Below are 17,077 nucleotides of genomic sequence, written 5' to 3' on the forward strand. Positions count from 1 at the left end.
CCTTCAATATCTCTCTGACTCTGACCCTCTTGGTTGCATTGTCGCATCTCCTCTGACCCTGGCCCTCCTGCCTTCCTCCTATAAGGATCCTCATGATTACATTGGTCCTACCAGGATAATCTAGGATAATCTTCTCATCTCAAGATCCTTAACTTGATCACATTCACAAAGTCCCTTTTGCCATATAAGGTAACATATTCACAGATCTAAGCATTAGAATCTGCACATCTTTGGGGCCTGTTATTCTGTCTACCACCCTTTAATAATATAATAACCATTGTTCTGATAAGGTTGAGGCCCACAGGTATAATTAAAGTCCTGGGCTTCCTCTCTCCATATGGTCTTGGGGCTGGTAAATTTCTTCCTTGTCCGTGGCTTGGGCTGAACCTGCTCCAAGAGTGCCTAGTCTAGGGAACAAGCTCATCTGAGCCAGGCTGAGCCCCTGGCCCCTGAGGGCAGACAAGTTATTGCAAGACCCTGAGTTGCCAGGCAATGTGGATACAGGGTATTCATTGGGAGTCAACCTGGATTGAAAAAAACCTTTTTTTTTTTTTTTTTTTGAGATGGAGTATCGCTCTGTCACCCAGGCTAGAGTGCAGTGGCATGATCTCGGCTCACTGCAACCTCCGCCTCCTGGGTTCAAGTGATTCTCCTGCCTCAGCCTCCTGAGTAGCTGGGACTACAGGCGTGTGCCACTACGCCCAGCTAATTTTTGTATTTTTAGTAGAGACGCGGTTTCACCATGTTAGGCAGGATGGTTTCAATCTCCTGGCCTCGTGATCTGCCTGCCTTGGCCTCTCAAAGTGCTGGGATTACAGGGAAAAAACCTTTTTAATATTTCCTCTCCTCTCCTCTCCTTTCCTGAAAACCCCTCCCCTCCCCTTCACTTCGCTTTCCTTCCCTTCCCTCCCCTCCCCTCCCTTCCCTTCCCTCCCTTCCCCTCCCTTCCCCTCCCCTTCCCTCTTTTTTCCTGAGACAAGAGCTTGCTCTGCTACTCCTCCCCTCCCCTCCCCTCCCCTCCCCTCCCCCCCTCCCCTCCCCTCCCCCCTCCCCTCCCCTCCCCCCCTCCCCTCCCCTCCCCCCCCCCCCTTCCCTCTTTTTTTTCTGAGACAAGATCTTGCTCTGTCACCCAGGCTGGAATGCAGTGGCATGATCATGGCTCCCTGCAACCTCTGCCTCATGAGCTCAAGTGGTCCTCCCACCTCAGCCTCCTGAGTAGATGAGACTACAGGCATGCGCCACCATGCCTGGTTTATTTTTTGTATTTTTGGTAGAGACAGGGTTTCACCATGTTGCCCAGGCTAGTCTCAAACCCCTGGGCTCAAGTGATTCACCCGCCTCGGCCTCCCAAAGTGCTGGGATTACAGGCATGAGCCACTGCGCCTGGCCTTCTTTCTCTTTTTTTTTTTTTTTTTTTTTTTGAGACGGAGTCTTGCTCTGTTGCCCAGGCTGGAGTGCAGTGGCGTGATCTTGGCTCACTGCAAGCTCTGCCTCCCCGGTTTACGCCATTCTCCTGCCTCAGCCTCCCAGTAGCTGGGACCACAGGCGCCGGCCACCACGCCCAGCTAATTTTTTGTATTTTTAGTAGAGACGGAGTTTCACCGTGTTAGCCAGGATGGTCTCGATCTCCTGACCTTGTGATCCACCTGCCTCGCCTCCCAAAGTGCTGGGATTACAGGCGTGAGCCACTGTGCCCGGCCTCTTTCTCTTTTTTTAACTCTCTGTTTTGTAGAATTGTTTTTCCCCTTGGGAGCATGCAGTGTTTACTTTTTGAGGCACCTAACTTTACATGTCTTAAGTTATTTTGCTCTTCAGTGTACATCAGAAGCTGCAGAGATATTCTCTTGCTGTCATGGCTATGTATTCTTACCTAAAAATCAGGATATATGATCAGACAATGAACTTTCAACATGCTTCCAAGAGTCGAAGGTGTTTTGGGAGATTCAATTGGTTGAAGACATGTTAAAATTTCTGGTACATCGTGATAGTTTAGGGAGGATAATGTGACAGAGTAAATAAAATAGAATAGCTATCACTTAATGAGTACTTTATGAAGTGCTAAGTGCTGTGTTATCCCCTTTTACATATTATCTAACTCTCACAATCCAGTGAGGTAGAAATTATCACCCTTGTTTCACAGGTTCCATCTCAAGTGGTAGTAGCAGGCTTAGAATTCAAACTCAGATTCATCTGACTCAGAAACCATACACTCAGAAAAATCCAGGAAATGCCCCTGCCCACTGCCCCCCACCCCCGCCGTCACCCCCACCCCCAACCCCCACCAGGAAATAGATGCATCCCAGGAACTAAAAATCTTACATGGAAGTCAAGCCAGAGCTCCAGATCTGCAAGTGTATTTCTTTTAAACCTCAGTAAAAGCTGCCTGATAGCCAAGAACAGTGGCATTTAGTTCAACGGGGATTTTAGATTCGTCTTTCCAGTGTCCTCACTCCTGAGTAAGAAGAAGGACAGAGCACGTTGGTATTTTCCTGGCAGCAGACACATGTTAAAGGAAATTTGATAGAAAGATAGAGATGGGGGTTGCTATTTTTATAGCCTGCCTTGTCTGTATCCAGCCTGCCTCCAGCATACCAGCATCACCAGCAGTGCTAAGAACAGGGAATTCCATGCTGTGGAGTAGGGGGTGCTGTAAGAGCCCCAGGTGATACTGGAGAGGAAAAATGCCCCCTTGGAGCCTAAATAGTACTGTTACGTATATGCCAAGGGCTCAGTTTAGCTTCTTCTTATTATTTATTTATTTATTTATTTATTTATTTATTAATTTTTTGTTGAGACGGGGTCCCACTCTGTCGCCCAGGCTGGAGTGCAATGGCGCGATCTCGGCTCACTGCAACCTCTGCCTCCCAGGTTCAAGCAATTCTCCTGCCTCAGCCTCCTCAGTAGCTGGGATTACAGGCGCCCGCCACCACGCCCAGCTAATTTTTGTATTTTTGGTAGAGACGGGGTTTCACCATGTTGGTCAGGCTGGTCTTGAACTCCTGACCTCAGATGATCCATGTGCCTCGGCCTCCCAAGGTGGGGATTACAGGCGTGAGCCACCGTGCCCAGCCCTCAGTTTAGCTTCTGCTGCTAAACAGTCCACCCTTGGGAGAGAGACTGAAAAGGGTGGGGCGAGGGCCCATCTCACTTGAGAAAGTGCAAGCCTGACAGCTGAAGGGTCCCAGAGCAGCAAATATCACCTTGTTTCTATGGGACCATTCCAGCTGTCTGCTTTTGATTGACAGAGGCATCTGGCTGCTAAAAATACCCTCCTGACCAAATGTTCCCTACTCCAACTAAAGCCGAACAGGATTGTTGCAGTTCAGAACTTAGCACATACAGATAGCTTCTGCTTGCAATGGAACCTCTCAAAACTTTTCAGGCCCTATGCCATATTAACCCATGGTCATTTTCTGTTCTGTCGGCTTTGCTGGGTGATGAATGAAACTCTTCCCAGTTCACTTGTTCTCTTGTCTGTCCCATCCCCACCTCCAGGAAAAGTAGCAGAGGGGGAGGTGAGGGCCCAGTAGCTGAGAGCGAGTAGGGAAGGGGAGGTGGCTTGTCCATTTATAGTCTTGCTCTTTGGGATGCTGAAGGTGCTGAAATAGCAATGACAAGAGACTTGGCTCAGTGTTAAATAACTGCCGCGCTGGCCTGACAGTCTCTGAGATGACAATAGGGAGAATGGAGAACGTGGAGGTCTTCACCGCTGAGGGCAAAGGAAGGGGTCTGAAGGCCACCAAGGAGTTCTGGGCTGCAGATATCATCTTTGCTGAGCGGGCTTATTCCGCAGTGGTTTTTGACAGGTATGAAATGTGGGGAGTTGCCTTCTCTCCTGTTAGTTTGGCTGGGGCCAAACTCTAAAATACTTTGCTCTCAAAAATCATCAGGGGAAGGGATAAAATTCATGTGCTCTTTTTTCAACAAAATGGCACTTCTGAGAGCTAATTTTTCTGGCACAAATTTTTCTGCAAGGGATCATTGCCAGTGTGATTTGCTGTGGCTCCTAGAAGGGTGGTGAAGGTGAGCAAAGGCTTCGGGGGCACTTTCTCCCAATACTGGCCAACTTGGCTGAGAGGGTGTGCTGGGAGTGGAAAGGTGGGTGTGGTGCTGTGGGAAACATTTTCCGACAGAAAGCTCTATATTTTTAGCTTTCTTTTTATTATAAATACATTACCAGATAAAGTAATTGCTGAGACTTTAAAAATTATGAACTATTTGTATATTTATAATTATGAATAACCCAGGAATCCACTTTCCCTTGAAAAATCTGAGTATCACCCAATCCCAGTCCCCTCTGTCTTTCCTCAGATATTACCCCTGCTATTATTTCAATGTATTTCCTTCTAGAATGTTCCTGTGCTATTACATACATATATCTGCACTTAACAAGATGGATGGCTGTAGTCTGTCTGGTTTTTTTTTTTTTTTTACAGAAATGGTGTCATACTTCAGATGTCATTTTAGAACTCACTCTTTTCCCTAAACAACACGTTTTTGATGTCTATCCTTGCAGGAACTTTAAATCTATAGATACTTCTTTTAAATTCCAAAGATCTATTTCCTTTATAGAGCTATCCATATAGATTCATATGCCATATGAATCATCAATCTTAATTTTAAATATTTCATCCTATAAATATATGACATTTTATTTATCCATTCCCCTATTGAGAGACAATTGGTAGTTTTTAATTTTTCATGAAATAAAATGAAAATCCTTGATCGTGTCTACCTGTACATATGTTCGATTGTTCTCCAGGGCACAGGACTAGAAGAGGAATTGCTGGGCCGTAGGATGTGATGTTTTCAGTTTTATAGGCTCTCCAAACAGGCTCTATTAAATTTACATTCCCGCTTCCTCACGACCTTGGCCACACTAGACTACCAAGCTTTTAAATTAGTAATAAATCTTCATTTTAAACAAACCTACATGGTGATTACATTAAATTGTCAATATTTTCTGAGATCAAGGTTGGGGTGACCTGCTTGACATCTATGTGGTTTGAGTCTGATAACCTAGGCTTTGTGGTTGGCTGGCTGCACTGACCACCCTGGGAAAGGGCACTGCTTCCCACAGATAACTTGATTAGTATTCACATTCTCTTGTCTTCCTGCCCACTAAGACCTTCAGGGAAAAGGGTGTGAACTGGGGCATATGGCTCACCACCACTTGAGGAAAATAAGGGGCTGAGGTGACTTTTTCAGGGGGAGCTTGTCTTATTTCATTAATCTGTGTGTGTGTATGTGTATGTGTCAGGGGAGGGGTGAGTACAGTTAGGGAGCCAGCTGGATTCAGAGTGAAAACAACCCAGAAACACAGGGACTGTCAACACTAATTCTGGCGCTGCCAGTGAGTTACTGCCTGGCCTTGTGAAGAACATCTCCATTTGCTGCTTCCAATTCCCCAAAGTCAATCTAGCCAATCAGTTCCATTTCAAGAAGGTTAAAGTTGAATGGGCTTTCATTCCATTATAAAAGCAAGGCATTGTCATTTTAGAAAATTTAGAAAGATAAGACATCACACAGCGATAACCACTCTTAACATGTTGGGTATCTATTTTCGGTTTGTTTTAAAACATAGGTTTCATTTGGCTGTAATATACTCATTATACAAGCTATTATGCTTTTTCATTTAATAATTTTGACATCTTCTGTGCTATTATACACTCTTCAGAGACATAGTACTTAAGGGCTACGTCTTCTTCTATTACCTGCTGATGACTGGCCATTTGGATTGTTTCCATGTTTTTGTTATTATAAATAATTTGTCATTCATTTGAAGTAACAACTATAAAAACACCTTCATATACATTGCAGATAAATGCTACATAAAATCATATATTATTTTTACAATGGTAATAAAAGTGGGATAATTGGTATAAATGACGTTTAAAATGATTGAAAAAAAATCTAAAAGAGATAGTTTTTTTTTCAAAAAATGCTTTACCCAAACTTGTCACTGCATAGATGAGGGAGCTGTGCTTTCTTTGGTTATACCAGAGACAGCCCAAAGAGGCATTAAAGGAAAGTTTTATGCATTTTAGGCTCCTGGTGAGGCTCAGCCACCATAGATGAGAAACTTGATTGCAGAGGTGGGACTGAGTCACCCACAAAAGTCACTGTACAAAACTGGCTTGTTTTAATCCATCTTACTGCAAGACAGGCTTTCCTACTCTTCCACACAAATGTGGAGAAAGATTTTATTTTTAGTTGAGCACTGCATTAAATGAAAATTAATTCTTTCAAACAGTGTGTATTATATATTCTAACATATATATTATATGTTATATTGTATATATTCTAACATATATTATATAAAGCATAGCAATAAATCAACACCAAACCAACTTAACTAGAATATTCCAATATGTTACATCTTCTCTATCCTGTTGCATGCCTGCTCCAAAGGTAATTATCCTAGGTTTTGTGTTGTATATTCTACTGCCTTTTAAATAATAGTTTTGGCCGGGTGTGGTGGCTCATGTCTGTATTCCCAGCACTTTGGGAGAACCAGGCGGGCGGATCACCTGAAGTCAGGAGTTCAGGACTAGCCTGGCCAACATGGTGAAACTCTGTCTCTACAAAAATACGAAAATTAGCCAGGCATGATGGCAGGTGCTTGTAATCCCAGCTACTCAGAAGGCTGAGGTGAGAGAATCGCTTAAACCCGGGAGGCAGAGGTTGCAATGAGCCAAGATCATGCCACTGCACTCTAGCCTGGGTGACAGAGCAAGACTATTTCTCAAAAAAAAAAAAAAAAAAAAAAAAACAGTAATAGTTTTATCACAGTCACATATTTCTAAACAATGTATAATTTAGTTATGTTTTGTTTTTGATCTTTTAAACAAAGGTACAATATTATATGTGGTTTTATGCCACTTGTTTCTTTCAATGAAATGTTTATTATTCATCTGTATGGTTTTGTGAAACTAATAAAATGAATAAACTTTGTGTGTGTCTGTGTACCAAATTTATTTTTCCATTCTCCTGTGAATGGTTGCTATGAACATTTTTGCTCCTATCTCTTGGAAAGCAGATACATGAGGTGTGTATCACAGAAGTGTAATTACTAGGCCAGTAATATATGTGTTATTTGGCTTTAAAATATAATGCCATACTGTGAAATGCTGGTTTGTAAACCTGAATTGTGTCTTTGTTAGAATGGGCTTTGTTTAGCATTAACAGTAACAATCCAGGCCCTTAAATTATGGTCCTTAGTCTGGTTAGGATCTCTTCACCTTTGATGGTCGGAAAAGCAGGTACTCTTCTTGAAGGTAAGAGAGCAAGAATAAAGCTGGGAAAATTCTTTCAGGCCTAGCTATTATGTAGCACTTGGATTAAGTGCTAGGCATGACTAATCAATCAGGCACACCTTCCTCCTGAACTCCAACTTGGCCTCAGAATCCCTTCCAGCAGGTCCTCCAGGGGGCTACTACCAATCAATGAGAACTAGCATTTAAAAATGAAGTCTATTTGCCATCCTCTTAGGTGTTGTGGTTGGGGGCTGGAAGGGAGTGAAGTACCGTTACCAAGGGGTTGCCTTTTTTGGACACAGTATTTTATGGTAGTTGAGATACCGGGGGTGATGCACGAGTGGGTAAAAGTTGCTCTCTGCCCCTTTAACTCTCCACTCTGAGAGTTTCCAGTTCTCAGGGGGAAAGTGAGTGGGAGCTCTGTGGTACCTTAGCCCAAGTGATCCTCCTAGCTTCTACATAGCATGGGGTCAAACTGGGAATTCGCAATGCTGGGTTTTGTTGTTGTTGTTAAGGAAGAAAATAATAATTCTCTGCAATCTTAACATTTGGAAAAAAAAAAAAAACCCCAGCTATTAACATTCTGGTGTATATCCTCCTTGTTTTCTGATGCAAATACAATGCATATAAAATGTTTTCTTGATTCTGATGAGTTATAGGTGGGGTGGGGGTCCTGGAAGAAATACTACATTATTATTGTTATTATTTTTATTTTTTGAGATGAAATCTTGCTCTGTCAGCCAGGCTGGAGTGTAGTGGTGAGATCTCGGCTCACTGCAACCTCTGCCACCTGGGCTCAAGTGATTCTCCTGCCTCAGCCTCCCGAGTAGCTGGGACTACAGGTGCATGCCACCACACCCAGCTAATTTTTGTATTTTTAGTAGAGACAGGGTTTCACCCTGTTGCCCAGGCTGGTCTCGAACTCCCGGCCTCAAGTGATCTGCCGGCCTTGGCCTCCCAAAGTGCTAGGATTACAGGCGTGAGCCACTGCGCCTGGCAGAAACACTACATTAAATATATGCTTTGATTGTAAGACACAAAATGTCCCTAAATTCTGGATATTAAAATATGGGAAAAGAAGTTTATTTCAGAATGGAGGGAAAATGGGACATACATAATATGCTATATTTATCAATTCCAGAATACATATTTTAACTTCTCTGAAATCATAATGTATCCTAAAATCTATGGCTGATTATGGTTTAATTGGCAGATTTTTTTTGATTTCTTAGTAGTGAATAAAAATGGTGCATTTAATAATTTCAGGTTCAATGTAATTAAGTTGTATACACTTTTTCTCTCAAAAAAGTTGGATTATTTTGTAACCTGTTTTATTTACTTCATAATATGTTGTGAACAACTTTCAAACCATTAATATCCTTCTACACCATTTTAATGGCTGCATAGTATTCTTTTTGTTGACTTGTATATTAATTTAATTAGATGCCATATATTAGTTTTTATTTTCATTTTAGATTTTGGGGGTACATGTGCAGGTTTGCTACATGGGCATATTGTGTGATGCTGAGGTTTGGGCTTCTAATAATCTGCTTGCCCAGGTAGTGAACATGGTACCCTATAGGTAGCTTTTCAATTCTTCACCCTCTCCCTCCCTCTCCCCTTTTGGAATCTCCAGTGTTTATTGTTCACATTTTTGTGTCTATACATACCCAATGTTTATCTCCCACTTCAAAATGAAAACATGTTATTTGGTTTTCTGTTTCTGCATTAATTTGCTTAGGAGAATGGCCTCCAGTTGCACCCATATTGCTGCAAAGGACGTGATTTTGTTCTTTTTTAACAGCTGTGTAGTATTACAGGGTATATATGCACCAGGTTTTCTTTATACAATCCACCATTGATGGGCACCTGGGTTGTTTCCATGTCCTTGCTACTGTGGATAGTGCTGTGATAAACATATGAGTGCAGGTGTGTTTTTGGTAGAATAATTTATTTTCCTTCAGGTAGATATTCAGTAATGGGATTTCTGGGTCGAATGGTAATTCTAGTTTTAGTTTTTTGAGAACTCTCCAGGCTGCTTTCTACAAGGGCTGAACTAATTTGTAGATGCTATGTTTTGGAGATCAAGGGTGTGCTCTTCTTTTTCCTAGTAGATCTTCCCATATATCTCTGATTATGTATTAAAGACAAATTCCTACAAGTATAAATTTTGAATTCAAAATACGTTTTTAAGGCTTTTGATATAGATTTCCAAATTACCTCATCAAAGGAGATCATACATTTTTCTACTAGCAGCACAGGGGTTGTCTCCTCATCCCAATACTGGCCAACACAGAAAACTATTTCACTTTTTCATGTTTGTCAACTTAATCTGTTAAAACTTTTTTTAGTATTGTTTTAACTTGAATTTTTTATTATTAGAGAAGTGAAAGTTTTTTAACATTTGTTCTTTTATGAATTGTTGTTTTCTTTTGATGCCCTCAATTTTTAAGTATATGCATAACTCATTTGTTTATTACTCCTTTATGTCTAGTTCTCCCCTCTATTACCTAGCTCGATGCACATAACAGATGCTCAATAAATACTTGTGGAAAGAATCAGGGAGGGAAGGAAAGAGAGAGAAAGAGAGAGGGAAAGAAGATGGGGTTTCACTATGTTGCCAAGGCTGGTCTCAAACTACTGACCTCAAGAGATTTGCCTGCCTCAGCCTCCAAAAGTGCTGGGATTACAGGCGTGAGCCCCTAGGCACCTGGCCTTTAGTTCCCTTTGCTGCTGTCACAAACTACTGTAACTTCAATGGCTGAAAACAACACAAGTTTATTATCTTATAGTTCTGGAGGTTAGAAGTCTAAAACAGGCTGACACTTCTGTTTCTTTGCTATCTCCATCTACTTGAGGCTGCCCACATTCCTTGGCTCATGGCCCCCTTCCTGAATCTTTAAAGCCAGCAGTGTAACATCTTGTTCCCTGCTGACCTCCTGCCTCCTCTTATAAGGACTTGCAATTACATTAGGCCCACCTAGGAAATTTGGGATACTGTCCTTGTCTCAAGGTCTTTAACTTAATCACTCATGCAAAGTTCCTCTGCCATGTAATGTAATCTATTTATAAGTTCTGGGGATTAAGACATTGACAATTTTTGGGGGGCTATTATTCAGTCTACCCCAACGAAAAAGAATTTTCTAGATTGATCCAATTCATCACAAAATATGTTAAGAAGGAGCAAGGACAGTTAGTGGATTTTTTTTTAAAAGTTCTTTAAATAAAAACTTGAGCAGTCTCTAAATTATTCTGGTTACAAAGTTGAAAGTGACCCGGAGATTATGTATATATAGTGTGTATATAGGGAAAAAGATAGTGGGGAACATGAGAAAAAGTTGAGTATTTGTAAATAAATTACTGTCAACCAGGCTTTTTTTGAAAATGGAACCAGTTATGAGCTTTCTTAGGTGCGGCAGAGCAGGTGGGGTTAGTCAGTGTAATTCTGTGTGAGCATGTGGGAATGGCAGGATCAGCCCTGGCAGACACACAAACACACATGTGGCCTTTAATCTGATAACAGCTGGTGGTTGGTTATTGGGGGATAAATGATGCTATAAATGGAAATAATTTAATAAAAGGATTAGAGAAATTCCGGAACAATTAGTTCAGAAAATGAGTAAGTGCTAAACTATTCAAGTGACAGCCTTAAATGTTTGCATTGGATGTTGAGAATAACCACAGTCGACTTAGAATTCTGCTTTTCATTTGGCACTTTTAGCTGCAGAGGCAAGACATGTCGACATGTTACACAACCTGTTGTGAGCTGTATTGCTAAATATTGCTCAATAATTCTTAAATCCAGAAGTCTGAGAATGATTGCCTTTTAAAGATGGATTAGATCAAATGGCAGGTTGTCCCCATAATGATGCTATCTTTACCCACTCGCATCCCAGGATGTGTTCTGAACATGAATTGAGGGGGGTGCTTCAGCTAGGCCATGGAAATGTATACAGGTCTTAGTAGGGTGTGTGAGCTGTGGCAGAGAAAATCTTGAGAATTGATGTTTTAATAAAAAAAGGGATGTTAAAAATAAATTGACAATCTCCAGGCTTGATCCAAGGAAACAGTACCTTTTAATTCTTTTTTTTTTTTTTTTTTTTTGAGATAGGGTCTCACTCTGTTGGTCAAGCTGGAGTGTCATGGCACAATCATGGCTCATTGCAGCCTCTACCTGCTGGGCCCAAGCCATCCTCCCACCTCAGTCTCTGGAGTAGCTGGGACTACAGGTGCCTGCCACCATGGCTGGCTACTTTTTATTTTTGTTTTTTGTAGAGGCAGTGGTCTCACTATTTTGCCCAAGCTGGTCTCAAACTCCTGGGCTCAAGTGATCCTCCTGCCTCAGCCTCCCAAAGTTCTGGGATTACAGGTGTAAGCCACTACCCCAGCCCCCACTGACTTCTTATGTCAAGGTATTTAATAGTCAGTGCAAACATGAATCTCATGATCTCATCCAACGGCTAACTCTGTCTCCTATATGTACACCCCCACACCGACACATTTGCCTATCAGTGCCTCTTTCTGGAAGACCTCAACCTTCTCTGAGTACAAACTCAGCCTATCTCTCGAGGTCAGAACAATGCCTCCTCATCTCGTAGGTGATGCCTTTCTAGATTGCCTCTCCTACCTCAGTTGAAGTAGTCTCTCTTCCTCGAAACTTACAGCAAGTTACCATGCTTGTGGAATGTGGGTCCTGCCTTGTTTATATGTGTTTATGTCCCATCCCAGCCTGGGGACTGCTTGAAGGCAAAGTCGGTATTTCCTTTATCTTTTTTGTTTTTGAGACAGAGTCTCGCTCTGTCGCCCAGGCTGGAGTGCAGTGGCGTGATTTCGGCTCACCGCAAGCTCCGCCTCCTGGGTTCACGCGATTCTCCTGCCTCAGCTTCCCGAGTAGCTGGGACTACAGGCGCCCGCCACCACGCCCAGCTAATTGTTTTTTGTTTGTTTGTTTTTAGTAGAGACGGGGTTTCGCCGTGTTGGCCAGGATGTTCTCGATCTTCTGACTTTGTGATCCGCCTGCCTCGGCCTCCCAAAGTGCTGGGATTACAGACGTGAGCCACCGCGCCCCGCCTTCCTTTATCTTTTAAGGCCCTCTATTACCTAGCTCAATGCACATAACAGATTCTCAATAAATACTTGCAGAATGAAGCAGGGAGGGAAGGAAAGACAGAGGGAAAGAAGAAAAGAAGAAGGAATGAGAAAAAGAATTTAAAATATTGTGAAGTTATCTGGGTACTTGAGGGATGGGATGTTCTTTAAGACACCTACCCCAGGCTGGGCACAGCAGGCTTACGCCTGTAATCCCAGCATTTTGGGAAGCTGAGGCAGGCGGATCGCTTGAGCTCAAGAGTTTGAGACCAGCCTGGGCAACATAATGAAATTCCATCTCTACAAAAAAATAAAAATAAAAACAAGCCAAGCGTGGTGGCATGTGCCTGTAGTCCCAGCTACTTGGGAGGCTAAGGTGGGAGGGTCGCTTAGGCCCAGGAGTTTGAGGCTGCAATAAGCAGTGATTATGCCATTGCATTCCAGCCTGGAGGACAGAGAAAGACCCTGTCTCAAAAAAAAAAAAAAAAAGACACTTCCCTCTAATTTTTGAGGAGAGACCTTCTGGCAGGCTGGGAGTTTGTAAGCATCCCTGAAAGACAGAACGGTTGAACTGTTGGTCCTGTCCTCTCTGGCTGAGTTTTTGGAGGGCTTGCCCACCATGCAGGCACCTTGTCTTTGCATTTATCTGTCCGTGAGCAACTATTTCCATACAAGGAGCTGAGCAGCAGCTGCCCTTCCAGCCCTCTTCACTCTGACAGATCACAGAGTCCAGCAGGGCTGCAGAGCAGAGTGAGAGGGGACCAGCTGCTGGAGCAGGGCACATTCAAGGCTGCAGGCCAAGCAGGTGGGCCTTGTAGCTGCATCCGCCCGCCTTCTGTGCTGGGAGCAGCGTCCGGCGTCAGGGACCCTTAAGAGAATAATATCCCTGTGAGGATAATGATCTCGGCCAGTCTAAAGGGTTGCTGTGAAGATTTTTAAAAAAACGAATCACTAAAAACATCTCTTTGAAATGGCAAAGTGCTGTGTAAGTGGGAGTTGATACCTTCTTGTGTGAATAGGAATGTAAGACTCGGGAGAAACGAGACTTGCTGAAGGTCACCCAGCTAAGACTGCCTGGGACAAATGCTCTTTCTCGGAATCCAAAAAGTGGCTTTAGGACTTCATGTTATTTGGACACTCTCCTGCACTAGGGGCAGTAAGGCAGGGGAGGGGTGGGCATTTCTTTTTTTTTTTTTTTTTTTGAGACGGAGTCTCACATTGTCACCCAGGCTAGAGTGCCGTGGCGTGATCTCGGCTCACTGCAAGCTCCGCCTCCCAGGTTCAAGCGATTCTCCTGCCTCAGCCTCCCTAGTAACTGGGATTACAGGTGCCCGCCACCACGCCTGGCTAATTTTTTGTATTTTTAGTAGAGACGGGGTTTCACTATGTTGGCCAGGCTGGTCTCAAACACCTGACCTCAGGTGACCCACCCGCCTCGGCCTCCCAAAGTGCTGGGATTACAGGCATGAGGCACCATGCCCGACCAGGATGGGCATTTCTGTCAGGGGAGTGCCCTTGTCCCCATACGATGTTCTCCTGTAGCTGGGCTGTCTTCCTCTCTGGCAGCTGCCTGGAATGAGCTGGTGCTGGGGGTGAGAGGAGCTCAGCGATCAACCTGGCCCAGCCCTCTCTGAGTGACAGGCAGGATGGGTGGCCCGGGCTGATGTCCACTGAGTACTTATCCAGTGCCAGGCTCTGTGCTGACCATCTTACACATGTTATTTCTTTTAACTCTAAAATCACTATGAGAGTGGTGAGATTTCAGAACTTCTTGTAATTTTCATCTTGCTTGAATTTTTTAAAATAGTAAGTATATTTCATTCAAAAGTACTGGTCAGTAGTCTAAAAGATAGCAAGATCTAGGTGTTGCTATTCCCATTTTCACATAAGGAAACAAAAGCTTGGAGAAGTTAGGGGACTTGCTCCAGGTCACACAGCCAGTAGATATTGGAGTCAGGAGTAGAACCCAGCTCTGACCAACTCTAGGTTTGACCTTCCATAATACCCAACCCCATGCCGATGAGGGGAGATGGGAACCAGAGGGACAGGCTTAAAAAAAATTTCAGACTACATTTGAAGGAAAACAAAAAAATTCTTGCTACTCAAAGTTGAAGCATCAGTATTGCCTGGGAGCTTGTTAGAAATGCAGAATCCCAGCCCCCACCCCACATACTAAATCAGAACCTGAGTTTTAACAAGATTGCTGGTGTTGTGTGTGCACACTGAAGTTCCAAAAGCCTGACTCTGCATCCTCCTTCTCCCCAGCTCCAGCCTTGCAGCTAAGCCCTACCAGCAGCCGAGGGCATAGAGAGAAGCTCAGCTTCATCCCAAAGGAAACCTAAATTTAAGAACGATAACTTAATGCTTCCTGGGTTTCACCAGCTTTTAAAACTTGGCTCTAGGCCCTAGCAAAATTACAGAATGGGATATAAAACAGATCTGTGATCCTGGAGGAACTATTTGGTGGTTCATATTTGGAACCCATCCAAGTTCACCATGGGAAAAGAAATCATTGATCACATTTTCTTTTTATGAAAAGTATTCGAAGTTTATTACAGCAAAGAATCTCATGAGATAACAGGAATTGATCCAAGGCTTGATAAAATGATTATATAAGTGTAATGTTCTCCCTGTCACCCAATCTTGGGTGAAGGCTGCTTTGCAGCAGCTGAAGGCTCTGTCTCCAGCCTTCTCCTGGTCACAGTGGTTATTAGTGACTTTGAGAACATGAGGGTCATGCCACTGGAATTTATTCTTAGGGACATAATATGGCTACAGTTAATAGCAGATAGATTATTCTATAATCAGGCCCTATTAGAAGTGTATTAAGTTAGTTAATGGGAGCTTGGAGGCAAATGCCAGGCCAGACATATTCTTTCTGTTGGAGCCAGGCTAGGAAAACTTGCCGTAATAAACCCCACAAGCAGCGTGGACTAAGTAAGGACAGGGTTATGCAAGGGGTCCATCCCTGATGTCTGCAATAAGGTCACTGAGTAAGGGGTCTTTGCACAGAATTTAAAAACAATAATCCCAGCACTTTGGGAGGCCAAGGTGGGCAGATCACGAGGTCAGGAGTTCCAGACTAGCCTGACCAACATGGTGAAAACCCGTCTGTACTAAAAAATACAAAAATTAGCCAGGTGTGGTGGCGGGTGCCTGTAATCCCAGCTACTCGGGAGGCTGAGGCAGGAGAATCGCTTGAACCCAGGAGGCGGAGGTTGCAGTGAGCCGAGATCATGTCATTGCACTCCAGCCTGGGCTACAGAGTGTGACTCCATCTCAAAAGAAAAAACAAAAAACAATAAAAGTCAATCTGTTTTTTGTTACCACCATGTACCAGCAATTCTAAACAACGTCAAGGATAAAATACTTCTCCTCACCCCAAAATCCATAAGGGTCTAAGTTCTGAAAAACTGCTCTTGGGTAAACCTCATTTTAGCACATTTTAAAATTACATATCTTTTAATAAACATTGTATTCTGCCTGGAAGTTAATTCTGAGGACCTTTGGTTATACAGTCAGCCATGTGGACTCAACTACATGTGTTCATTGTGAGGGTAAATTCTTAAGCTTCAGAGTTGTTCCAGGTTGTGTTGGCCACAGTCTATGTCTCCAATCCTTGTGATACCACATATTCCCACATTTTTAAGTAGATTAGAAATAAGCAGTGATTATAAAGATGAAGACTCAAAATTTGTTGTTCTAAGTGTTCACCTAGGTGATTACCTAGGTGATCACCTGGAATTTTCATTTGTGTTTGAAATTTAAAACAATAAAACAGAGAATTGTGAAGTGTAATGTTTTTGTTTGGTAGGCACACATATTAGTGTATACATGAAATATGAATGTGTGAATATATGTATATGAATAAAAAGATGGAGGATATTGTACTAGGCTATTCTAAAATGTCAATTTGGGTGTAAAATATGAGAGCAGTTCTGGTGTGGGGTTGCTCTCTGATGGGCGACCTTGGAACAGACAGGCATGGAGTTACAAGTGGCAGGTTACAAGGGACAGACAGCATGATTGTGCTTGCGTCTAACTGTTCCCTCTCCAGACCACCTCCTGGCTCTCCTCCCTTTCTCTCCTGCCTTGGGTTTGTATTCCTGGTCTGAGCCCTGATGCCCCAGAGGTGGACATCTGCTCTTCCTTCCTCGTTCCTAACCTAAGACATACTCTGAAATTTGCAGATGACTCAGAGGTTAGCATACCAATATAAAAGATGACAGAAGAAAATTCAAAATGACCTTGATGTTTTGGAATGCTACCTTGAAAACCATCAGTTAGGGATAAAGGTGAAGACTCCAAGTTAAAAAATTCAGTGTCACAAAGGAGCTTTTGAGCTGATGGATATATTCATTATTTAATTTTTTTTTTTTTTGAGATGGAGTCTCACTGTGTTGCCCAGGCTGGAGTGCAGTGGTACAATCTTGGCTCATTGCAACCTCTGCCTCCCTGGTTCAAGCGATTCTCCTGCCTCAGCCTCCGGAGTAGCTGGGACTACAGGTGCCCGTCACCACGCCCAACTAATTTTTGTATTTTTAGTAGGGACGGGGTTTTGCCATGTTGGCCAGGCTAGTCTTGAACTCCTGACCTCAGATGATCCACCTGCCTTGGCCTCCCAAAGTGCTGGGATTACAGGTGTGAGCCACCGCGCCTGGCCTGGATATGTTCATTATCTTGATTGTGATGATGGTTCTGTGGGTAGATGCATATGTCAGAACCTATCAAAG

The 17,077-nt window shown here is 43.1% G+C and overlaps 1 protein-coding gene across 2 annotated transcripts in view, besides 2 other annotated features; it reads left to right on the forward strand.

The window, feature by feature from the left end:
- Positions 3,086-3,486: an enhancer, noted in NCBI's record as "ENSG00000115593_2:88147915-88148315 (NCBI36/hg18 genome assembly) insert fragment". NCBI's record gives its function as "drives selective reporter gene expression in differentiated C2C12 myotubes {active_cell/tissue: C2C12}" and the evidence as "EXISTENCE:reporter gene assay evidence [ECO:0000049][PMID:22144875]".
- SMYD1 (SET and MYND domain containing 1) overlaps positions 3,630-17,077 on the forward strand; it is a 45,560-nt gene continuing 32,112 nt past the window's right edge. For both annotated transcript variants that reach the window (NM_198274.4, NM_001330364.2), the window contains exon 1: positions 3,630-3,806. In NM_198274.4, coding sequence (NP_938015.1) covers positions 3,670-3,806 — 137 coding nt within the window. In that variant the 5' untranslated portion in view covers positions 3,630-3,669. The remainder of the gene's footprint in view (positions 3,807-17,077) is intronic.
- Positions 7,255-7,549: an enhancer, noted in NCBI's record as "tiled region #1533; HepG2 Activating non-DNase unmatched - State 21:Repr, and K562 Activating non-DNase unmatched - State 23:Low". NCBI's record gives its function as "activates a minimal TATA promoter and a strong SV40 promoter by Sharpr-MPRA in HepG2 and K562 cells {active_cell/tissue: HepG2 | K562}" and the evidence as "EXISTENCE:reporter gene assay evidence [ECO:0000049][PMID:27701403]".

Source organism: Homo sapiens, chromosome 2 (genome assembly GCF_000001405.40).
Source record: "Homo sapiens chromosome 2, GRCh38.p14 Primary Assembly".
NCBI lineage: Eukaryota > Metazoa > Chordata > Mammalia > Primates > Hominidae > Homo > Homo sapiens.